General features: G+C 45.0%; 2 long non-coding RNA genes across 3 annotated transcripts in view, besides 1 other annotated feature; one reads left to right on the top strand and one right to left on the bottom strand.

The window, feature by feature from the left end:
• Positions 1 to 21,567, bottom strand: part of LOC105373531 (uncharacterized) — a 28,470-nt gene extending 6,903 nt beyond the window's left edge. Inside the window, exons 1-2 of one of the 2 annotated variants that reach the window (XR_923144.3) lie at positions 20,995 to 21,567; positions 718 to 804 (exon numbers count right to left, since the gene is read on the bottom strand). This is a non-coding gene — a long non-coding RNA (uncharacterized LOC105373531). Of the gene's footprint in view, positions 1 to 717; positions 805 to 1,759; positions 2,638 to 20,994 lie in introns of those variants that run through there. The other variant, XR_923145.3, reaches the window with a different exon arrangement.
• LOC124906055 (uncharacterized) lies at positions 1,874 to 5,205 on the top strand. Its single transcript, XR_007087167.1, has 2 exons — positions 1,874 to 2,482; positions 4,982 to 5,205. It is a non-coding gene; the product is annotated as an uncharacterized LOC124906055 (long non-coding RNA).
• Positions 12,822 to 13,656: an enhancer, noted in NCBI's record as "NANOG hESC enhancer chr2:106567089-106567923 (GRCh37/hg19 assembly coordinates)". NCBI's record gives its function as "activates a minimal SCP1, AML or CMV promoter by ChIP-STARR-seq in naive H9 embryonic stem cells {active_cell/tissue: H9 hESC(naive)}" and the evidence as "EXISTENCE:reporter gene assay evidence [ECO:0000049][PMID:30033119]".
• Positions 21,568 to 24,610: the final 3,043 nt, after the last annotated feature.

Here is a 24,610-nt window from a genome sequence, read left to right as displayed (position 1 = left end):
TCTGATGGTTTAAAAGTGTGGCACTTCTGCCTTCACTTGCTCTCTCTCTCCTGCTTCGCCATGGTAAGATGTACTTGCTTGCCCTTTGCCTTTCGCCATGATTGTAAGTTTCCTGAGGCCTCCCCAGCCATGTGGAACTGTGAGTCAATTAAACTTCTTTTCTTTATAAATTACCCAGCCTCAGGTAGTTCTTTATAGCAGTGTGAGAATGAACTAATACATACACCAAAACTGTCCTTCTCTCTACCTTTCCTATATTTTCCTAAATTTTGTTATTGAGAAGGGATTTTGAAATTTTAACATGCATCCACTGGTGATCTTAAAATACAGATTCTGATACAGTAGGTTTGAGGTTTGAGGCAGGGTCTAAGATTCTGTGTTTCTGAGGAGCTCCCAGATGACATAGAGGCGGCTGTTATATAAGAGACACTATGTTTAAACAATGATTATTTTAAAAGTGGACCTTTGGGAATAATAATAAGAGGTTTCTTAGGTTGAAAAACCAGTCTCAAATGCCAAAGCATACTCCCCCGCCAAAAAAAAAACACACAAAAAAGTTCAATAATATCACCTCTTTTTACATACTTCACTTGGATTTTCCAAGTAAAGGTCAATGGAAACTGGGATCGTCAAGCCCTAGAGAGTGAGACTATTCTTTTGTTCTGAATTATCCACTGAGATGAGAAGAGTTTTCCACCCATTGTTAGGTGTACTCACCTTCAATTCAAGGCGTGACTCTTGTCGACTCTGCTTTCGTGGGAGACCTTATTTTGTTCCCATATCATCATAATGCCTAAGAACCACCTAGAGGATGAAAAAGCACAGCCCACAGGCACTTCTCAGACAGGTAACCAATCCTCATGTTCAACAACCGCCTCCTTGTTAAGAAAGGTAATGTGAGGAATTGTAGACCCCATTTATCTCTTGGCAGCCTGAACTGTGAAGCACTTTATTTTTCTTTTAATCTTTCAGCAGGAGCTGTTTTTGTTCTGGCTTTGCCAAATAGATTACAAAAAAGTAAAGTTCTATTTTTAAAAAACCAGCCAGTCTTCCTTATGAGCCAATCAAGCAATATATAATGGCTTTCATTTATTTTGTAATTTATAGATCTCAATGCTTTTCTAGAGATATTATTTGACTTTGATAGCATATTTCTTATTTTTAAAGTAAAACATTTTCCATGTTGAATATATGGATTTTTAAAAATGCAAAGATAAGAAAAATTCTTTTATAACATTACTACTCATAATGGTATACTATAGCCTTTTTTTCCCAAATAGAATACATGTGTGTCTTTTTTTTATGAAGCTGTATCATATGGTCTTGTATAATATCTGCTCTATCTCATTTGATCCTCAGAGTAGCCCTGGGAGGAGGCAGGGCAGGTGTTACTAATTCCATGCCATTGGAATGGATTCATCAATGATAACATTCAGTTGCAGAAACTCCTCTTTCTAAGGCTTGGTCCAGTACCTTTTCCAGAACCATGCACGGTGAAGGCTGATCAGAGCCTAAATAGTTCTACAAATATATCCACATAAAAGAGAGTGATAAAGAAGGAGAAAGAATGTTTCCTAGACATTAGTTGCATGAAATGAAATTTATGGAGTGGCCCCATCTTTAAAGAGGTGGCTGCATTAAACCATATTTGGTTCCCATCCAGCCTAGAAAGTGACACTAATCAGAAGTATGTTAAAACCAGACAGCTAACAGACAAATTGTGGTGTCTGCCCACAGTGAAATGCGATAGACAACTCACAATATGAACAAATGCTTTCAGAAACATTACACTGGATGAAAGAAGCTTGGCACAAAAGGATACACACTACATGGCTACATTTACATAAGAGCAGAAACAGGCAAACCGACTCTCTGGGGTCAGAGGTCAGGGGAGTGGTGAACATAACGGACCGGGGGTTGTGGTGACTGAAGGGCCCAGGCAGGACTCTGGAAGCACTGGTAACAGTTTGTCACTTGATCTGGATGAACACCAGCGTGTTCCGTTTTGGAAATCCTTTCAGCTGTACTTACCCTAAGTTTTCAAAAGCCTCTTGGTTTCCAGTAGGTTGTACCTGCCTTTGCGGATCTCACAGAATCCGCCCATTTGTTCAGTTTCTAGGATCAGGGAACACTTGCCTTCCATTTTTATTATTTCAGGCCTCACACATGCAAATCTAACTGGCCAGGACTGACCCAGAAGGAGGGAGAGCTCTGGTCCATGGGTCTCCCCTCCCCAACTGGCAGGCTTTGGTCAACAGCGCTCAGAATGAAAGGAAGGTGGTGGTGCTGGCTTTCAAGTCTCCTCCAAATGCAACTGACCCAGGTCTGCCTGTCCTCCATTAGCTTTTGCTCGTTGGAGAGGGATAACACACCGCTAAGAAAAAGACTTGTTCTGAGAGTGAGGACTGCCCCCGGATTTTGTAACCAGTTGCAACCACCTGAAAGCAGCTCTGGGGAAGAGGTCATTGAAGAGTCTTTCCAGGTGAGGGCTTTGTCTTAGATCACCTGCTGTTTTTCAACAATGAGGAAGACTAAAATAGTCCCAGCGTTTCTATTAAAATGCTCTGTTCTCACTGCTGACAGTAGGTGTAGCAGAACCAAACAAACCTGGGACTCAGTTCAGTTCTGCCCCGAAACCAGGTAGGTGAGCAGAAGCAAGTCAGTGACCTCCAAGCCTCAGTTTCCACAACTCTAGAATGGGGATAAGTAACCCTACTTTGGGTGATTCAAGGAGATAGTGTATATTGAAAGGGATTGGTATAAAGGTTGGCACATAGTGAGCTATTCATAAACTCCTCTTAGAAATAATATTCCAGCCGGGTGTGGTGGCTCACGCCTGTAATCCTAGCACTTTGGGAGGCCAAGGAAGGAGAGTCGCTTGAGCTCAGGAGTTCGAGACCAGCCTGGGCAACATAATGACACCTTGTCTCTACAAATAATAACAATAATAATAATAATTAGCTTGGCATGGTGGCATGCACCTGTAGTCCCAGCTACTTCGGAGGCTGAGGTGGGAGGATTGTTCAAGCCCAGCAGGTCGAGGCTGCAGTGAGCCATGATTGTGCCACTGCACTCCAGCCTGGGAGACAGAGTGAGATCCTGTCTCAAAAAAAAAAAAAAGAAAAAAGAAAAAAGTAATATTCCCCTGGTCTTTCATGCATTCAGCAAACATGGATGTGCACCCACTAGGCACTGGGGACGCAGGAGATGCACCAGGAGGAGGCACACGAGGCCCTGCCTCCTGGAGCTTACACACTGCAGGGCGGAAGGCAGCAAATAGGGAGGCAGACACATGAACATACTTTACTTGAATACGACGAGTGGTTGTGAAGGAAATAAATAAGGTTGTGAGATGAAGAGAATGGTGGAGTTCCATCCACTTGACACAGTGGGTTGGGGAGGTGTCTCTGAGAAGTCAGGGTGATCTGAGGCCCTGGGATTAGGGACAAACTAATCCCATGAAGAATGGGGACTGGGGTGCAGAGGAAATGCAGGGGCAACCTCCGGGAATAGGAGAGAGCTTGGCACTGTGGGGTACAGAAAGGAGGTCAGTGTGGCTGGAGGGCGGTGGAGAGGATGGGGGATGGTGGGGCTAGAGGATCAGGCAGAATCCGCACCCTGGGGCAGGGCCTCTGGAGGCCATCGTGAGGAGTTTGGGAGTTTGGCGCTGAGCAGGAAGGAAGGCTATGCTGGCTCTCAGCTGGTGTGATGTAATATGACTGGCATTTTAGGCCCCTTGATTTGGATACTGTATGGAGAAGAGCCAGCAGAAGAGCAAATGGAGGGGCATGAATGAGGTGATTGCGATTATCCTGGGAGGAGGGGCGGTGACTTAGTCTAAGGAGGATGGAGGTCAAGGAGACGGAGGGACATGGACAGACTGGAGAGTGGTTCTGAGGTAGGAGAGACAGGAGATGAGGAAAGGAGAAAGAAAAGAGGGCTCCCAGACCATGGAGACACCCAGGAGGATGAGAGCTGCTGCCTCAAATGGAAAAGAGCAGCAGGTTTGGTTGCTGGCAGGGGACAAAGGTGGACTCAGGCAGGAGGTAGGAATTCTAGCTGGGAGCTCAGCGGAGGGAGTGGAAACAGAAATTTGGGACTTCTCCACACAGACACCTTTAAAGCCTAGGATATTGGGTGAGCTCCCTTAGAGGAACAAGGCCTGACTCCAGCCACGAGGGTCTCCAACCTTTAAAGCCATGCCAAGGAGAAGCCAGCACAGGAAACTAAGAAATAACAACCGATGCAGGAGAAAGACGGGATGCGTGCTGTCTCAGGAGCCCAGGGGGAGGGCTTCCAAAAGAGCGAGGGGCGGGGGCCCTGCATGAAGCCAGGAGTCTGAGGAGAACAGAGCAATGTTCTCAAGTTATAGCATGGGGTTGAAGGTGAACTTGACATGGGTTTCAGTGGATGGAGGGTGTGGAACCCCAACTGAGGCTGTGGAGGAATGAATTGGGTGAGGCAGGGTGCTAAAGGTGGCACTCCCTGTCTTGTCTGGGGACGTGTGTGGGGTTCCTAACCCCTCCAGGAGGCTGGCAGCTCTCACTGCCAGTCCCCTATGTTCCCACCTGTAGTCAGAGGAGCAGCTCAAGGGCACGGGACATACCCTGGACCCTAGAGGGAGAAGCTCTGAGCTGCTGAGGCCTCACAGCCACCATTCACATTCTGAACATGCCCTCTTGCTGGGAGTGGTGGTAGCAGGAACATTGATTCCCACAAAACTCTAAATAGCGGATGTGGGATGAGTACGGAATGCTAGCCTTTCTCTGTTTTATAGCCAAAGGGAAATTTTCTGGAAGCCATAACCTCTTTGGGTGGATCTGAAAGGAGGGAGGATGTGGCTTAAGTTGTTTGGTGCAAAGTTTTCCAGGTGTTGTGAAAGACGTATTTATTGGGGCTGGGAGTGAAAACAAGGAAGAAAGGATAGAGCTGTAGTGTGATGGGAAATGTTTGTAAATGGGATTTCTTTTTTTTTTATTAGGTGGAAAGCGAAGTAAATGAACTCTGGGGTGGTGTCTCCCAACTCTCACTTCCAGCTCTCCTGTGTTTGTAGACTCTGTGTTCCTAAACAAGGGAAAATACAGCCACAACCTCCAAAGGACAAGTGCTTATTCATTCCTTTAATTTATCTTTATTGAGGATGTTCCATGTACAGTGGAAGAAAAATTGAAAGTGAATAAAGGAAGCTGAAGATGTTTAAAGATATAGTTGAGAAATCTAAAGCCTAATGAATTGTTTTAGAAGAGGAGTTTAAACAAAATAGGACTACTCAGGAGGCTGAGGCAGGAGGGTCACTTGAGCCCAAGAGTTCAAGGCTGCAGTGAGCTATGATTATGCTGCTGCACTCCAGCCTGGGCAATGGGGCAAGACCCTGTATCCAGAAGAAGAAGAAGGAGAAGGAATACAAATAGATAAGAGGCAGAGAAGCTGTATTTATAGGATTCCATACATAATCAAGAACCCTGAGCAACTGTGGCCTCAGCGCGATAGATATTGATTTCTCTTACACATAGAAGAAATCAAGCAGGGGATGAGATAGCCAGCTGTGTTGGTGGCTCTATGAATTTGCCAGGGACCTACGCTGTCACACTCAACCTAGTCCCCATCCTCGTGGTCCAGAACAGAGCTGGAGCTTGAGCTGCTTTGGCTGAGCTCTTCAGAGAGAATGGCATGAGGGCTTCACTGTAAGGGGATCACAGGCATTGCTCATGCGTCTTCTAAGCTAGAACATTCACCCATGGCCATGAGTAGCTGCAAGGGAGGCTGGGCATGTCTGTGGGTTGGGCAGCAATATGGGTGTTACTATTTTGAGAGAAGGGGAGAAAGTCTGGCACAGAGGCTAATCTACAAAAATCAGAATATGCAAAACAGATGTAAAATTGGTGATGATTTACTTTACAAGTGATGTCTTATCTTACCTCCATTAGCACAAGCCCCAGGCCTTGACTCAGCATTTGAGCCCCTCTGCCTAAGTGCCTCAGTCTACCTCTCCAAACTTATCTCCCTGTTCACATCCCAAACAGCCCTGGACTTCTGCTAAGCTGGTGATCCCTTAGTTCTGGGTCTGTGCTTGCTTTGTACTGGTTTGAGTTTCAATTCTTACACAAAGGACTGGATGAAACCACTGTGTGAATCTAAGTGGGCAAAAAAAAGAGCAGTCTTCAGGAGGGAAGCACATATGCATGCACATGTGCTGTAAGTGACTAGTGGAGTCCACTGCACACAAGATCAGAGATGAGTTGGAAAGCTGGTGGACCAGACACACGGAAGTGGGGACCTGGCACATAGCTGTTGCAATACTCCCGTGGGAAGATAGGTTCTCAGGGGCTTGCCCCATCCTGGAGAAGAGGTGGCTCCCAGAGATAGCCTCACATGCCAGCAGAGTAACCGATCTTGTCATTACCCCCATTTCCAAGCTCACCTCTTTATATTCAAAGAGAGATAACATTTCTTTGACCAGGGAAGGCTTGTCTGTTTGCAAACACTTGAAAGGAACATCTGTCACTCTTGTGGGGCCCTTACAGGTTCCAAATGTCCCTCACAGGGTTTCATTACCTCAACCCTCTAGATTATATTGGAAAGGGGAGGCATATACATGTGTGCTTGCAGTTGAAGGAAGGAACCCAGGCTTAACTTTCTACAGATTCTCAAAGATGTCTGTGCCCCTGAAAGATTAAGAAGAAGGAATTAATTTGTGTTCCAGGGCTGGCTGAGCCTTGCAGCATGACAGTAATCCTGGGGAACTGAAGTTCCACACCTTTGAAAAGAGAGCTGGAGAAAGAGACCCCATGGCCACAGGTCCCAGCAGGCTTGCTCAGTGACCCCACCACATGGAATGCCAGAGACCAGGCTAGATTCCAGATGTAGTGCAGGGCAGCTGGGCACGTAGCCGTGCCACCCTCACTGGCACACATTGTCAACAAGGAGGCAGATGCATAGGTCTCTGAATGGATGCGTGAGGGTGACTTTTGAACATTTTCATTCTGCACTTAGCTGAGCTAAGCTCTGGGCTCTCAGCACTGAACTGGAGGTGGAGGAGTAAAACAAGGACTTAGCAAAATGTTTCTTAAATGGTCATTTAAAAACTCTCCTAGCTTGTTGCCATTAAATTGGACCTTACTATTTATGTGAGACCTGGATTTTAGTACATTGCTTTTTGTAAGCCATTAACCATGTAAAATGATCCAGAGTCAATTTAGAGTTAAATAAGAGCTAATATTACAATCCCCATTTAATATTTTGGTTACATAGAAAGTTTTATTTTTAATAAAACAGGAGATGTAGTGGGAAGGAAAGCCAGGGTCCTGCATGCAATTACATTATATACGCTCTGACTTTTAATAACACCATATTCACATGACTCGGGCAACAGCATTGAATGCTGTATTTTCATGCCACGCATGTGACCCAGGACTTTATTAAAATATAAGTCATGTTTAATCGTACAATATGAAAAGCCATTCTCATGTCAATGGACTTCCTTCAAATTTCCACAGTTCAATAAAGGGCCCAAGAGCTACACTGAACAAATCATGGGAATTAGAAATAGAAAAGATCTGTTTACCTATAGGACATGATTTTAGATTCCTGTCTTATTCATGCAGTCATTCACTAAGCATTTATTGAACACTTATATTTAGAAACATCATCCCAAACTTGGAAATAAGAAGTGACTGACAGCATGTCCTTCCATTGTCATGCCATGACCTGCCAGGATTTTCAAACCTCTGGGAGAATAAATCTGTGTTTGACATTGTTGCTTACTGATTAGAGCCCAGTCTCTGTGATGTTACCTGTAGATTTCTGTCCATTAGAGAAGCTGTGGTTTCATTGCTCGGTAGAACATTAACCAATGTTCTATATAACCTAGCAATCATATTCTAACACTCTGTTCCCAAAAACCTTCTAGAAATACCCAATTCTTAAAAATGCTTTCTGAACAGGCATTACTATTATATGTGTTCCCTTTTTTGTAATGAAATCTCTCTTTGACACATGTATTCTAGATTGGTGTTTTAGTCTACTTGTGCTGCTGTAACAGAATACCACAGAAAGGTAGGTACTTTATAAAGAACAGAATTTTATTTCTACTCTTTCTGGGGTCTAGGAAGTCCAAGATTAAAGCACTGGCATCTGGTGTGAGCCTTCTTGCTCTGTTCTCACATGGCAGAAGTGGACGGGCAAGAGAGAACAAATGCCGTGTGCTGATGTGGCAGAAGAGCAGAAGAGCAAGCCAGCCAAACACAGCCGGAGCCCCTTTTATAAGAGCCTTAATCCCACTTACGGGAAAAAAGCTGCCATGGTCTAATCATCTCTTAAAGACCTCACCTTTTAATATGATCACATTGGCAACACTTGGATTTTGGAGGGGACACATTTAAACCACAGCAATTGAGATGACATCACATTTTTGACTTTTTGAAAGTTATACTCTGTGCTGTGAAAGGTTTACAGATATATAAATGACAACTCCTTGCCCTCAAAGTCTGTCCACAACAGCTGAATATTAGAAAGTGATCAGTGCCACAGGGAAGGATGGAGGAATTAGGAAGCAGAACAGAAGCTTGATTGGCAGCTGGAAGCTTAGGGAAATCTTTATGAAAGAAAGGGAATGCTTTGGCCAGCCCAGGCAGTGAGGAGAGGCACTGGGCTATGACATCCCTGACCTTTGGGGAAGTTTAATGTCATCTCTCTTCCTGTTATGTCTTCATCTTTTTTTTTCTTTTCTTTCAATCCCAGATCTTCCTTTTCCTTGCTCATCTTTGCCCTTCCTCAGCTGCTCCATTTCTCTTTCCTCCGGACCCCATTCTTCTTGCCACTTACTTCAGAAGATAAGTATTTGGAAGAACTAGGCTGGGACCTCTCTGCAGAGAGGGAGCTGAGCAGGGAGCCCATGTCACTCCCGGGGGCCTCCTGTGCTGTGGGTGGAAGGGAGCTTGTTTTAGAAGAAAAAGCTCCAGAGGATCAGAGGATGAAAAAAGAGCCAGGGAGTCAGGCAATCTACATTTATTTAAAATGGTTTCATGGAGTTGGCCATTCTCTTTAATAGGCAATTTAAAACAATATCAATATTTATGGGCATTTATGCAGCAGGTGCTGAGGCAGCCAGCACCTTCCCGAGGCAGCTAGGATTACAAAGACACTGGTCTGATCTTTTGCATGAGGAGAGCACATTGGCTCCCTGGAGCTGAAATCACTCTTCCAGGGCCCTGGGGGGCCATTTGGAGTTCAGGAAGTGGAACAAAACTCAATGGTCCCTAAGAACCCTGCCAGGTTAGTGCAGCTCCCTGAAGCAAGCTGCTCCTTTTCATCCTTCCCATCTATTAAGGCTCATTCTCTCTGAATAAGCCGGGGGGCCTCAGCACAGCACAGGGACCGCAGATCATTCTCCTAAAGATGAGCAAATGGCTCCAGGATTAGGACAGGGCAGAAACAAAGTCCCCACCTCCAAGTCTAAGCTGAACCTTAGCCTTGGAGTGCAATAAACACTCAACGACAGGGAGAAACAAACTCTAGGGGTGCCCTCCGGGTGACGCTTGGGCCAAGATCACTTAGGAAGCACCGTTTCATCCCCAGGCCTCATGGGTGTTTCAGAGACTGCTTTGCTTAGGCAGTTACAGGCTATCTGGCCAGTAGCCCCAAACAAAAGTTCTGCGATTTGCATCTTTAGCAGCGGACAATAAGAGATTTATGATATTCAGCAGAAGAGTGATCAGCCCCTATGCAAAGCTTCTCACAAGCGTGGTCTCTGAAAACCCCTTCCTTGATGAAAGGGATCTTTTTCAATGCTCTCCTCTTCTGTCTCCTCCTCTGGGCATGTAAATAAGACATCTCAGGCAGGATTCAGAAACACAAAAGCAATCACACAGCAGCTCCATGCTTGAGGAGCTTGCAGTCCAGCTGTGGATCCAGGCTCAGGAGACGGCGGTGCTTAGCTGGGCAAAGGACATTGCAGCCTCCAGGTGGTGAGGATCTGTGGCCCAGGCTTTGGGAGCAGCTCATTGAAAAGGATAAACTGTGGCAATCAGGAAGCAACTTCCAAAGAACCGATGTTCCTTGCTTAGGTGTCTCACACGCCATCAGGAGGACTGAAGATCATAGCTTTCCTTTCTTAAAATCTGTAGCAGACAGTGTTGATTTCCTACCCTGCCCATCCCTTACCACCTCAAAGCACCCCAGGGCAGCACCTGCATTCTTTTACCTGAGAAAGTGGGTTTCTCCTTGCAACCTACACAGAGGCATGGAGTGGGACAGCCTCCAACCCATGCCGAATGGTGGAGTCGTATAGGAAATACCCCAGCATCTTCACCCCAGGGCAAGAGGACTCAGAGGTGTGTGTTCCACTCCAGCTTCCTGAGCTCCAAGAGGGACTAAGCTCCTAGTGTCCAGGGCAGTAAGTGGCTTCACTTCCTTCCTGACAGACTTCCCTCCTCTCTCTCCCATTCCCACCGCCATCAGAGTTTTCTCCACCTTCATAGTAAACTTGCACTCCCATTCTTGTATCTGGGTCTGCTTCTGGGGCAGCACAAAGCGAAGACACCCCTACTTTTCCTTATTTCTCTCTTCCTTGAGATTCACATCCCTTACTCTAGAAAGTCTCCGAGGAAATCTTCTCCCCCAGCCCCAGGGAAAGTCATACTCCCCTCCCACAGGCAGGCAGGAGCAAAAGAAGGCAGGGAATATTTACCTTTCCATTCCTTTCGTCTGCTCATTTAAAATATAGCGCTAACCAAAGTCTGGGATTATGTGAAGAAACCAACGAAGGGAGGTGAATTGTGAGTGGAGTTTTGCCAAATAACAATAATAATAAATATCTAGTCAGGACCTATATCTTAGTCTGTTCAGGATGCCATAACTAAATACTATAAATTGGGTGGCTTATCAACAAGAGGAATGGGTTTGTGGAGGCTAGAAGTTCAAGATCAAGGTGCCAGCAGATGGAGTGTCTGCTGAGGGTGCTCTTCCTGGTTCATAGATGGCGTCTTCTTTAGTCCTCACTGGTGGAAGGGAAGAACTCTGGTCACTTTGGCCTCTTATAAGAGCACTGACTGCCCTCATGAGGGCCAACTTTCATGACCAAGTCCCCTTCCAAAAGCCCCACTCCCTAATACCTTGGGGATTAGGTTTCAGCATATGGATTTAGGGAGACATAACATTCAGACCATAGTAACCTAGTAACCTGCCTGATCAGGCCTCCCCTGGTGGCAGCAGGAGACCCAGTGGTTGAATCTGGAGTTCTGCTCCCCTCACCCAACTCCCACACTGCCTCCCTGGAAGGGAGAGAGGAGGAAAGGAGCTCTGGGCAGGAGAAGGGGTGAGGAAGGCAGGAGGAAGGGAGCTGGCCATGGAGCTGCCAGGGCTGGTAAAGGCACAACTGATGACTGTCATGCTTGGGAAAGAGGAGGGACCCATCTTAGGCTCAAGAAGGAAAGCCCTGGGGTTGTCTAGGCTCTGTCCCTTGGGGGAAGTGATGTTCATCTTGCGCTTGTGCAAAACACCAGCCCCAGCACCAGGATGCTCCTCGTTGTCATCGGAAAATGAAGACAGAGTCTCAGCGTCCTGGCTGCCATTCTTAATCTGCACCTCCCGGTGCTTATCCCAGCAGAGTGTCATTGTGGTGATGTTCAGACAAGAGAATTCTGCCCTGGTGCCTGGTGTCCGAGCTTCTTAGCTTCTTTGCCTATTGGTCAGGTCAGTTTATCACTCTTCCCCATACCCTCTGTTTCTTTCTCTTTTCCTTCCTCCCTTCCTTTTCCTTCCCTCTTTCTGGTGCTTTTTCTTCTCTTTTTCCATTTCTTTCTTTTCTTACTTTTTGTGAATATTTTCAGCTGCCTACTCTTAGCCAGGTACGGTTCCCAGACAACAGCACAGGGGCATCCAGCAGGTGTCTGCTGGGCAATTAGGGAGGAACTTGGTGATTTCCTGTGGCCAAGGCCATTTCCTCAGCTGGTGGCATGCAGATCTCTCTCAGGGGAGGAGCCTGGGGAGCTGCTGGCCAAGGGTGGAAGCCTGCATGAGCCTGATTGGTTAGTGAGAATTCCACTTCATTTGTTTCTGTGGGTGATGGACTGGTCAGGAGCAGTGGGACCCAGGGATCCTCCCTGTGGGAGGAGATCAAGTCAAAAGGCACCCAGTTAACCAGGGAAAAGGAATTTGGATATTCTTAGCATATTAGATATACAAAAGAATTTAGATATTCCTAAAGGGATATTTCCTTCCAACCAGGATATATATCATTTTAAGGCTCATCTGGTTTAGAAAACCAAAAACAAACATTAAGAAGTCTCTCTCTCCCTACTCATTAAATTTTGCTTCTCTTTCAAGGAGATTCCAGGCAGATCTGTTGAGCTCCCTGGTCCTTCCCTACAGGGGTGGTGGATGCTGAGCAAGTCCATGGCAGTCTCCTAGTCCTTAATTCCCCTACCTCATTCCCAACTTGGTCTTATCACCCCATGTAGTCCATGCATGCTAAATGCTACAATATACAACCTCCCAGGTGCAGTGGCCTAATACAATCAAATGTTATTTCTCAGACCAGTGCAAGTTGGTGGCAATGGGAATGGAGACTTGGGGATACGTGGGCAGGGGGAGGGAACTGCTCCACGCAGTCTGCTACCATCTATGGCTTCCCCTCTTCTAGAGCAATGGAATCCTTCACTGGGTCTACCTATGTATATCTAGAAATTCCAGATAGCAATGAGAACCAGAATTCTAATCTCATTTCCTGGGGAAAGCTCACTGCACGACACACACATGAACTCCTGGGATGATGCCTCCTTTATCACAACCAGTGATTTGTGACATGGACTGTCAGATTCTACTAGTGAATTCATATTTTGATCTGGTCAAAACGCTTTTACTAAACAAACTCTACTTTCCCATGGAAAAAATGATTGTACTTTCTCTCTTGAAAACACATTTTGTTAAACTTCCTTTTTAGAGAAAGACTAAAAGCTCTACTGTATCCAAAAATGGCTCAGCAGAGGGGGGTGAGATTCAAAGGATGTCTTGCTCTCAAATTGACAGAGGCTCATTACTCTCAATTGCTTCAAGCGCCACCAAGATTAGAATTCTTCAGCAGCCTGTGTTGATTCAGAAAGATGTCGCCTCTGAAGTTACAAGACACCCTGCTGCCTCTGAATCTGTAGGGTCCCTAGGAGCCTCTAATCAGCTGAACATCAGCTGCCTGACCTACTTGAAATTTGGACCAATGAAAATTGTGTATAGTCTTGTAGAAATCGGTGTTGGATTATAGGATTAACAGGCGCTGCTGGGGGTGGGGCAGCCTTTTACTGTAGCTGACACAGGGCCAGTGACTCAGGCTTTTGTCTAAGAACAATGCTGCTAAGGCACCACAGGGTCTAAGAGGTGTTTTGATGCTTAAAGACCCAAATGAGGCTGGTTGCAGAGAAAAAGCAAGGAAAAAAAAGAGAGGGAGAGACCAGGAGAGGAGGTCACAGAGGAAGGTTGCGCTGAAAGCAAGATCAGAGATGAGAAGAGGGATGGACAGAGGCAAAGGCTGCGTTTCTCTGCAACATTGTTCTGTGGGCCTGGAAACAAATTGCTTATCTCGCCTGAGATCATGTCTTCGTTGATAAGACTGAGAATATCGGAATGGTCAGGATCACAATAGTATGGTTCAGCCCGATGGCTCTAAATTCTCCTTCAGCCCCAAATCATCCTGGCTTTCATCTCCCTCTTAAAACAATCCCTGTGGTTTCTAATGACAGGTGCTGACTGCTTTCTATAATTTTTTTTTTTTTGAGACAGAGTTTCGCTCCTGTTGGCCAGGCTGGAGTGCAGTGGCATGATCTTGGCTCACTGCAACATCTGCCTCCTGGGTTCAAGCTATTCTCCTGCCTCAGTCTCCCGAGTAGCTGGGATTATAGGCATCCACCATGATGCCTGGCTAATTTTTTGTATTTTTAGTAAAGACGGGGTTTCACCATGTTGGCCAGGCTGGTCTCAAACTTCTGACCTCAGGTGATCCGCTGGCCTCAGCCTCCCAAGGTGCTGGGATTACAGGCGTGAGCCACCATGCCCGGCCTGCTTTCTATACTTTCTAAAATGTAAGCAGCAGCTAATATATTTCCTTCCTTCCTTCTTTCCTTCCTTCCTTCCTTCCTTCCTTCCTTCCTTCCTTCCTTCCTCCCTCCCTCCCTCTCTCTCTCTTTTTCTTTTCTTTCTCTCTCTTTCTCTTTCCCTCTTTCTTTCTTTCTTTCTTTCTTTCTTTTTCTTTCTCTTTCTTTCTTCTTTCTTTCTTTCTTTCTTTCTTTCTTTCTTTCTTTCTTTCTTTCTTTCTTTCTTTCTTTCTTTCTTTTCCTTCCTTCCCTCCCTCCCTCCCTCCCTCCTTCCTTCCTTCCTTCCTCTCTCTCTTTCTTTCTTTTTTTTTTGACAGGGTCTTGCTCTGTCACCCCAGGTAGAGTGAAGTGGCACGATCTCAGCCCACTGCAGCCTCGGCTTCCCAGGCTCAGATGATCCGGAGCCTCAGGCTCCCAAAGCGCTGGGATTACAGGCATGAGCCAACGTGCTCGGCCAACAGCTAATATATTTCTGAAAGCTCTGTTTAGCCTGTCTTTTTGTTCAACTAGAGGGATTGACATATTTGGATGTGTGGTTGTGGTCAGGGGTCTCCAGAGAAACAGAACCAACAGGATGGAGATATATATATATATATAAAAACATTTTATTATATATATTATATATGTTATATATATAGCATTTTATATATATATTAAATGTTGGCATATATGACATATATAACTAATACATATACAAATACTAATATGCTAATATATTACTAATACTAGTATGTATACCAATATTTATAGTATACATATACTATACTGTTATATATATTTAATAGTATATATACTAATATATAAATATATTAATACTAGTATAAGTATGTTATACTAATATAAATATATACATACACACATATGTGTGCTAATATTTGTGTGTATATATATATGCATATATATATAGAGAGAGAGGGAGATTATAAAGAATTGGCTCACAAGATTCTGGAGACTGAAAACTCCCCAAATCTACAATCCACACAATGAAGACCCAGGAAAGCCAATGATATAGTTACATTCCGGGTCCGAGTCCAAAGGCAGGAGAAGAACAATGGCCTATCTGGAAGACAGTCAGGCCAAAAAGTCTGAATCGTCCCTTGCTCAGCCTTTGTGTTCTAGTCAGGCCTCCAACAGACTGGGTGATGCCCACCCACCCGCACGGGGGAGGGCCATCTGCTTGATTCAGTCTACTGAATCAAACCTTCATCTCATCCAGAACCCCCTCCTATGAACAACATCTAACCACACCCAGGCAATGGTTAACCAAGTATCTCAGCCCCCTATGGCACAGTCAAGTGGATACTTAAGAATAACCATCACAGTAATCATGAAAAACTGCGTGGTGGTGCTCAGGTAGCCTAGAGCAGTGCTTTGCAGAGTGTGTGGTTCAGGAACCAGCAGTGCCAGCATCACCTGGAGCTTGTTAGAAATACAGATTCTCGGCCGGGCTCATGCCTATAATCCCAACACTTTAGGAGGCTGAGGCGGGTGGATCAAGAGGTCAGGAGATCTAGATCATCCTGGCTAACATGGTGAAACCCTGACTCCACTAAAAATACAAAAAATTCGCTGGGTGTGGTGGCATGCATCTATAGTCCCAGCTACTTGGGAAGCTGAGGCTAGAGAATCACTTGAACCCGGGAGGCGGAGGTTGCAGTGAGCTGAGATCTCGCCACTGCACTCCAGCCTGGGCGACAGAGCAAGACTCCGTCTCAAAAAGAAAAAAAAGAAATACAGATTCTCAGACTCCAACCCAAATCCATTGCATCAGATCCTCTGGAGACAGCCCAGAAATCTGCATTTTAATCATTCCCCAGGTGACTGTGATGCTCATTTATGTTTGACAACCATTGGCCTAGAGACTACAAGTCTGCGTTGTTTTTAGTGGGGCTCCTTGACTCTTGGAGCATTATGTAATCGTACAAGCTCATATTTGTATAGTTCTGTGCAATGCATTAAGGGCTTGCATAAATTTGATCCTCATAATGGCTTTGTAAAACAGGTAAGGATGATCTCATTTGCAAATTGAGAAGTTGAGACTCAGAAAGATTAAAATGACCTAGTGATCCCTCCCATCATAACACATCACAGTACAGCCACCTCCTTTCCTCTTCCTCCCCTCCCTCCCTCCCTCCTTCCTTCCTTCCTTGCTTCCTTCCTTCCTTCCCTCCTTCCTCTTTCATTCCTTCCTTTCTTCCTTCTTTCCTCCTTCCTCCCTCCCTACACTCCCCTGCCTCTCGGTCCCTTCTCTCTCACCTCTCTCTCTCCCTTCCTCTGTCCCTCCCTTCCTTCTTTCCAGTCATTCATTCCCTTGGTAGACATAGTGATGTGTAGCCCAAATTCCCCTTCAGGAATTGAAGGTCTATTCTCCCAGTGGCCGGAAGATCACCCTCAGCTATCAGCCCTCTTTGGGGGCTGTCTTGTCTGAAGACAGTCCCCTTGCCCTATGGCAGCCCCCTTGCAGGGAGTGATGGATGTAGGGGTGTAAGAGCCTGGCTGGCACCTCCTCCCCATACAGCACACGTCTGAAGGGCCATGCTGCTCAGAACTCTCTGTGACCAGCTGAAGCCTTGGCATGGCAGCCCACCTCCTCCCTCTTTGCAATTTGGCTTCCAGCCCCTCCAGAAGCTCCACTGGTGTCAATCGTATGCCCCTAACAAGCATCTGGCATGCTGACCACCCTCTCGGTGTCAGCCTCCCAGGGCCCCCAACTGTGGCAGGCACCAAACTGACATTGGTTGTTATTTGCAATGAAAGAAACCTGTGCTGTTGCTGTCAACCTGCTTACATCTGACGTGACACTTAGTTGAGTACCTTCACTTACACACACACACACAGACACTTTCGCGTGTGCACACATGCTCACACACACCCAATTCTCTAGAAGTTTTGACACTGCTTGGTAGATACCAAGGCAAGATAGACTGAGCAATGCCTCTGAAAACAAAAATCAATTATGTAAAGCCCCTCTTATGAGAGAAATGTTTTGTGTATATACATCTATACATACATAGATGTATATATGTATGTATATATATTTAACCTGCTTTCAGGTTGCCGCTTGCAAATCTAGAACTCCTCTAGCCATCCAAGGCTTTGGTTTTCCCTTGAAAATCTTCCTTTGACCTTTGAAATGCTTGGTTTCTGCAGTGCCTTTTGAGAGCTTGCATCATCTCAGCATTTCTCAAAAAAGACCTCAGATCTGACCCAGCGCACACCTTTCAAGTTACCTATCCTTCAGCTGTCCATATGGAAAGTGAGGTGGTTGCTCCACTCCATCCTATTGGCTTTCTGCAGAGCACAGATCATCCTAATAGAGCTACACAGAGGCTGCTGCCCATGGCATAGGGAAACCAATTGTGTCTTCTCGTTCAGTGACGAACATTCATATCTTTTTTTTTTCTTGACAGGAAAGTATCCCCAGGCATGCTTTAAGGCGTGACACCCTTGGCACCAAATCTAGCAGATACTTATTTTGCCTTTGTTTCAAGAAAGAGATTCCTAAATGAGCTATTGTCTCTGTGAAACAAGTACTAATTAGCATGGCTTTAGCGTGGAACTTCCTTTTCCAAAAAATCATATTTTCCTGATAGAGGAGCAGGCGCGCTAGAGTCAAGGGAAAACAATGAACAGCAGGTTAACTGTGAAGCCCAAAGCTATGGGATCAGAGCAACAGGAAACGAGTCCTGCTGTCCTAAGTCTGCAAAGCGATTTCACACTGCAAGAAGGGAGACCTGTTGCCTGTGGCAGCCTGGACTGGCATTGACCTTGTACATGGGTCAGCCAAAGAAGGATGACATATAACCTAACTCAATCTGCCAGAGAGAAACAGAGGCTTTATCCTTGAGGCTGATCCCTTGAATTAAGATTATGCCACCCAGGATCAGAGAGGCCAAGTGCGCCACTCAAGGTCACACAGAGCTTTTTGGCTTACGATGTGGTGGATTAAATGTTTAAAATTCATTTTTAAATTTTTTTAAATTGTGGTTAAATATACATAACTTAGACTATACCATCTTCACCATTTTTAAATATATAGTCTAGTGGCATTACGATCATTCACATTGTACAACCATGGCCACAATCCATCTCCAGAATTTTTCGTCTTTCCAAACTGAAACTCAGTCTCCATTAACTCTGGCCCCATTATCCTTGGGGCCAATCCCTTAAATTAAGATTATTTCACCCAGGATCAGAGAGGCCAAGTGCCCCAGTCGACATCACACAGAGCTTTTGTACCCAGGCTTTCGTTTTCATTGTCCACCATCCCCCTACACCCACACACACACAACTATTTTGAACCAATTAACTTCTTATTCTCCCCTTCCCTGCAGCCACTGGCAACCTCCATTCTACTTTCCATCTCTATGAATTTGACTATTTCTGGTACCTCATATAAGTGGAATCATACAGTATTTGCCTTTTTGTGAGTGGTTTACTTCACTTAGTATAATGACCTCAGGCTCATACATGCTGTATGTAGCATGTGCCAAAATGTCCTTTATTTTTTAAGGCTAAATAATATGTCTCACATATATATATATGCTATATGTATAATATATATATACATAATTATATGTATACATATAGATGAAGAAGTTCTGTTTATCCATATGAATGAATAAACAAAATATGGTATATATACACACACATATACACATATATACACACATATGTGAGTATATATATATATATATACACACACACACCACATTTTGTTTGTTTATCCATTCATTAATCAAGGTATTCTTGAGTTGCTTCTGTCTTTTGGCTATTGTGAATAATACTGCTATGGTAACTCAACTGGGACTATGGGCCAACATGGGTGTACAAAAATCTCTGTAAATTTAAAGATAATTTTTTTTTGAGACAGAGTCTTGTTGTGTTGTCCAGGCTGGAGTGCAGTGGTGCAATCTCAGCTCACTGCAACCTCCAACTCCCAGATTCAAGCCATTCTCCTGCCTCAGCCTCCAGAGTAGCTGGGATTACAGGAGTGCGTCACCATGCCTGGCTAATTTTTGTACTTTTAGTAAAGATGGGGTTTTACCACGTTGGATAGGCTGGTCTCGAACTCCTGACCTCAAGTGATCCGCCCACCGCTGCCTCCCAAAGTGCCTGGATTACAGGCATGAGCCACCACACTCTGCCTTAACGATAATTTCTAAGTTTAAGTTGATTTTTAGAAAATATAAAATTGCATTTTCTGCTGGTGGAGCCTAATTGATATTTGAGCTAGGCTGTCACCATTTTATGATCTGTTTCTATTCTATTTACCCTGCTTGGGTGACTTTACAAACACAGGCTGTGGCTCTTCCTTTAGTCTAACCAAAGACATAAAGACAAAGTGGGCACAATTGGCTGAAGAGTGGCTCAGCCCTTGCAGAATGTCGCTCCCAAGGACAGGGTGTGATTTGGTTCCCTGCTGTGCCAGAGCCTAAGATAGTCCCTGGCCAAAGAGACTCTCTGTACATTCTTTTTTTGGTGGATAAATGAAAAAAAAAAAAAAAAAGGTCGGGGGGGGGGAACTTTTAAAAATCAATTGATTGTATTGATCTATTCATTTTTAAACAAATTTATCTTTAACCAAACTTTAATGTGTATCTAGCTGTAGAACATATTTTCTGTAACAACCATCGCGGGATGGGAGCCGTGAGATTGTTAATAAATAGACAACAACACGCCTGGAAAACAGAGCGAAGTCTCCTTTGTGCCTTTAGCGCTATAAGGAACCTTAAAAAAAAATCTTTGATACCTTGCTTCAAAAAAAATTATAAACGCTCATCTCTTAACTGCAACTCAGGTTGACAACTCCCCAAAAAATTGTTAAAGAAGATGCCTGTGCATCAGGTGACTAGGGTCACGATTCTACTGTGTAACACGAAACCACGAATCGCGCAGCTTACAGGAGTGGGTGGTTTCTTAGCTAGGAGCCTCGGGGTTGGACACGCAGCAGTCAGCGGTTCCTCAGCCCGGGAGCCTCCAGGTTGGCTGGGGCGTGGCTGATCTGGGCTGGGTTTGGCTGGGCCATCTGCTTCTGAGCCTCAGCGGCACGTGGCTTCTCTAGGGGGTCGGGGCTCCTGGTTACTCTGAGATCCTGGTAAAGGAGCCAGCGCTGTCTGGGGGAAGCTCTCGGCGTGGCCAGGCACAGGCACATAGAGTGAGAGCACGAGTGGAAGCAGCAAAGCCTGTAAAGGTGCGCCTTCATTTCCGCTTTCATTTATTGGCCAACGCTAGTCCCATAGCGGAAGTTAAAGGAAGGGGAATAAGTGCGAAGTATGTTCGACCTTTTGTGGGAAAAACGGTAAAGTCACGGGGAAACGATATAATACAGAGGGGGCTGAAGAATTGGACCAATAATGGCACCTTCCACCTCCAGCTATTGAAAAATAGCAAAGGACAGCTGTCTCTCCAGAAGATACAGTGGCTTGCTGAGATCCACTCAGCTGAGCATCACCACCATGAAGCCCAGGGAAGATTCTGAGGGGATCCTTTGACAGAATCCGGTTGTCATGGACTGAATGTTTGTGTTCCCCCACAATTTCTATGTTGAAATCCTAAAACCCAACATGATGGTATGGAGCGGTGGGGTTTTTGGGAGGTGGTTAGGTCAGGAGAGTGGGTCCCTCACGAATGGGATCCGTGCTCTCATAAGAAGAGAACAGAGAGTTCTCTCGCCCCTTCTGCCATGTGAGGACACAGCCTGGAGGCGCCATCTATGAACCAGGAAGCGAATTCTCACCAGACACTGAACCAGCCCGCATCTCCATCTTGGACTTCCCGCCTCCAGAACTGTGAGAGTAAATGTTTGTTGTTTAAGCCACAAATATACCCAGCCTATGATATTTTTGTTATCATAGCCTGAACTAAAACACTAGTAGTGAAATATAGAGATAAGATTTACAGTAGTACTTACAGTGCTCCTTAAGAGTTTGCCTTTGCGTTATTGCCACGCCAGGCCTCTCGCAGCAGCTGACAGGTTGAGGCTCCTAACGTCACCTACGCAGGGAGCAACTGCCACTTTGCCTTAGCCTTGACATAGAATCCAATCCTTAGAACCTCATTAGGTAGCACAGATGGTTTTCTATTAATGACAGTAAACCTTGCTCTTCGCTGTAAGAAAAAAGAATGTCTGCCTTCACCCTGAGCATGGGATCCCCCATGCAAGGATGATCACTGTCAGAAGCTATTTTGATTTCACTGCTCATCCAGCAGCTGGAAGTGAGCACATGTGAGTAGCTCAAAAGCAAACAGCAAGACCTCTCTGGCTGCTGATCCTGGAAACCAGGTATAGGGCCAGGTAATTACAGTAACGTTCCTTTAAGCTCATGCAACGTGGCAGGCCAGGTTTCATCAAAAATGAACATGCTGGCACAGTCTCTAAGGCTGCTTTCTGGGCAGATGCTCTAAGTGGCCTATAGCAGGGGTCCTCAAGCCCCAGGCCATGGACTGGTAGGGGACCTGAGCTCTGCCTCCTTTCAGCTCAGCAGTGACATTAGATTCTCATAGGATCTCAAACCCTATTGTGAACTGCACACGCACAGGATCTAGGTTGCACGCTCCATCCCCCTCCCCCGTTTATGTAAAATTTGTCTTCCATGAAACTGGTCCTAGGTGCTAAAAAGGTTGGGGACTACTGGTTATATCAGGCGGGCCAGCAGTGGGCCCTGGGCGACCCAGGTCTACCCACTGTCCGGTTCCTGTAACAGCAGGAAGTGTTAGGGACAGCAGAGAGAGGGAAAGCAGGGAACCCCGAGCATCACTGGTCCATTTCTGAGTGACTCAGACTTGAGTACATTTCCCTGAAGGTCCTCCTTGGAGTTTGTCCTCCTCCATAAAGGTCTCAATGACTTCGATCAATCAGAAGGTGACTTGGGAAGCTGGGCCTGGAAAGCAGAGTTTATGTAAAAAAAAAAAAAAAAAGTGATGGAGGTTGGTAGTGATATTGTGAAAACAGACAACAGAAATAAGGACAGAGACCCACTGGTCTAGAAATGGCTAGAAAGAAAAAATCTTATTAGTGTTAACTTTGCTGATCCACTCTGGTGGACTATAAACTTTTCCATTCCATGAAATGCATTATTGAAGACTGACAGATGTTGACTAATCTGTCTCAAGCAATCTTAAAATACAGAAGTACAGGAATGTAGACTCAGCCTTTCTGTGTTTGTGCAGTCATGGGCCACATAACAATGTTTCAGTCAACAACAGACCCCATATGAAACGGTGGTCTCATAAGATTATAATGGATCTGAAAAATTTCTATCACCTAGTGGTGTCTAGCTGCTGGAACATGGTAGCACGAGGCACTACTCATGTAATTGTGGTGATGATGGTGTAAACGCACCTACTGCCTGCCAGTTGTATAAAAGTCTAACACATACAATTATGTATGGTACATAATACTTGATAATGATAATAAACAACTATGTTACTGGTTTATGTATTTACCATACTATACTTTTCTCATTATTTGAGAGTGTACTCCTTCTACTTAATCCAAAACAAGTTACGCGTAAAACAGCCTCAGGCAGGTCCTTCAGGAGGATTCTAGAAGAGGGCATTGCTATCATAGGAGACGACAGCTCCATGCGTGTTACTGTCCCTCAAGACCTTCCAGTGGGACAAGATGTGGAGGTGGACGACAGTGATATTGATGACCCTGACCCTGTGTAGGCCTAGGCTAATGTGTGTGTTTGTGTCTTAGTTTTTGACAAAAAAGTTTAAAACATTAAAAAAATTAGAAATAGGAAAAAGCTGATAGACTAAGACATAAAGAATATATTTATATAGCTGTACAATGTGTTTGTGTTTTAAGGTAAGTGTTATTACAAAGGAGTCAAGATGTTAAATTAAAAAGTTTACAAAGTAAAAATTTACAATAAGCTAAAGTTAATTTATTATTGAAGAAAAAAGTATTTAAAAATAAATTTTTAATAATTTTTATAGGCCAAGTGGACAGTGTTGATAAAGTCTATAGTAGTCTACAGTGATTTCCTAGGCCTTCACATTCACCCACTGGCTCACCCAAAGCAACTTCCAGTCCTGCAAGCTCCATTCATGGTAAGTGCCCTATACAGGTGGCAGGAGGTTATACATCTGCATTTGTGTGAGTGCACTGTATGATGTTTGCACAATGATGAAATCATGTAAGGACACATTTTTCAGAATGTATCCCTGTCGCTAAGCAACACATGGCTGTATTTAAATGTTCCTGAAGATAGTAGTCCTCTTCCCTTTAATTGCAATTGTCTTCTTTCCTTTCAATCAACTCTAGGTTTTCTACCTTCCCTGACAAGCTAGACTGTAAGCTCCTTGAAGGCAGGTATCTTCTTTGCCACATCTTCTCACTGGGGCACCTCAGGCTCCTGACATGAGTCTGGCACAGAAGAAGTGTTCAGTCAACATCTTGAAATGAATGAGGTATAGGAATATGCCCAGGAGTCACAACCATTGGCCCCCACTGAGAGAGAGACTTAAACAGGGATTGGTCCCCAATGAGAAAGAGACTTAAACAGGGATTGGTCCCCACTGAGAAAGAGACTTATCCTGCCAGCATCTTTCAAGTTTAGGGTGGGAAGTGGCAGCAACAACATGTCCCCTTGATGCAGGTGTTCTTTGTTTAGTGAGGAGGCACTTGCATGACTCATGCTATGTACTGAACTGAGTACCCCCTGCTCCCAAATCCATACATGGAAGCCCTAACCCCTAATGTGACTGTGTTTGGCAATAGGACCTAGAGGAGATAATTAAGGTTAAATAAACTTATAAGGATGGGGCTCTAATAAGACAGGATTTGTGTCACTTTAAGAGGTGACACTGGCCGGGCGTGGTGGCTCGTGCCTGTAATCCCAGCACTTTGAGAGGCCGAGGCGGGTGGATCACGAGGTCAGGAGATCAAGACCATCCTGGCTAATATGGTGAAATCCTGTCTCTACTAAAAATACAAAAAAAAAAAAAATTAGCCAGGCATGGTAGCGGGCACCTTTAGTCCCAGCTACTCAGGAGGCTGAGGCAAGGGAATGGTGTGAACCTGGGAGGTGGAGCTTGCAGTGAGTGGAGATCGCGCCACTGCACTCCAGCCTGGGCGACAGAGCAAGACTCTGTCTCAAAAAAAAAAATAAAATAAAGAGACACCAGGTGAGGAAAAGCAAAAATGTGGCTGTCTGCAAGCTGGGAAGAGGGCCCTCATCAGAAACCAAATCAGTTGGCACCTTGATCTTGGACTTCCCAGCCTTCAGAACTATAAGAAAGTAAATTTCGGTTGTTTCAGCCACCCAGCCTATGGTATCTGATAGTTCAAACAGACTCATGTTCATCTTAGTTATTCAAAATTTCTCATATTCAGGGTCCTGCTGATTGTATCCTCCTGGTGCCTTTTACTATGTTCCTCTTTCTCCTGTATTTCCAGGAACTTGGTAGTTAGAGCTCTACGCTTGGTTAGATTCTGGCTGATTTCTTCTGGCAAGTATTCTCATGGGTGGTGCTGGGCATTTCACACTGCATCTCATGAAGAGACACATGATGTCTGG

The sequence above is a fragment of the Homo sapiens genome, chromosome 2, assembly GCF_000001405.40.
Source record: "Homo sapiens chromosome 2, GRCh38.p14 Primary Assembly".
NCBI classification, from domain to species: Eukaryota; Metazoa; Chordata; class Mammalia; order Primates; family Hominidae; genus Homo; species Homo sapiens.
Note: the sequence above shows the minus strand (reverse complement) of the source record. Positions and strands in the feature narration are given on the sequence as shown.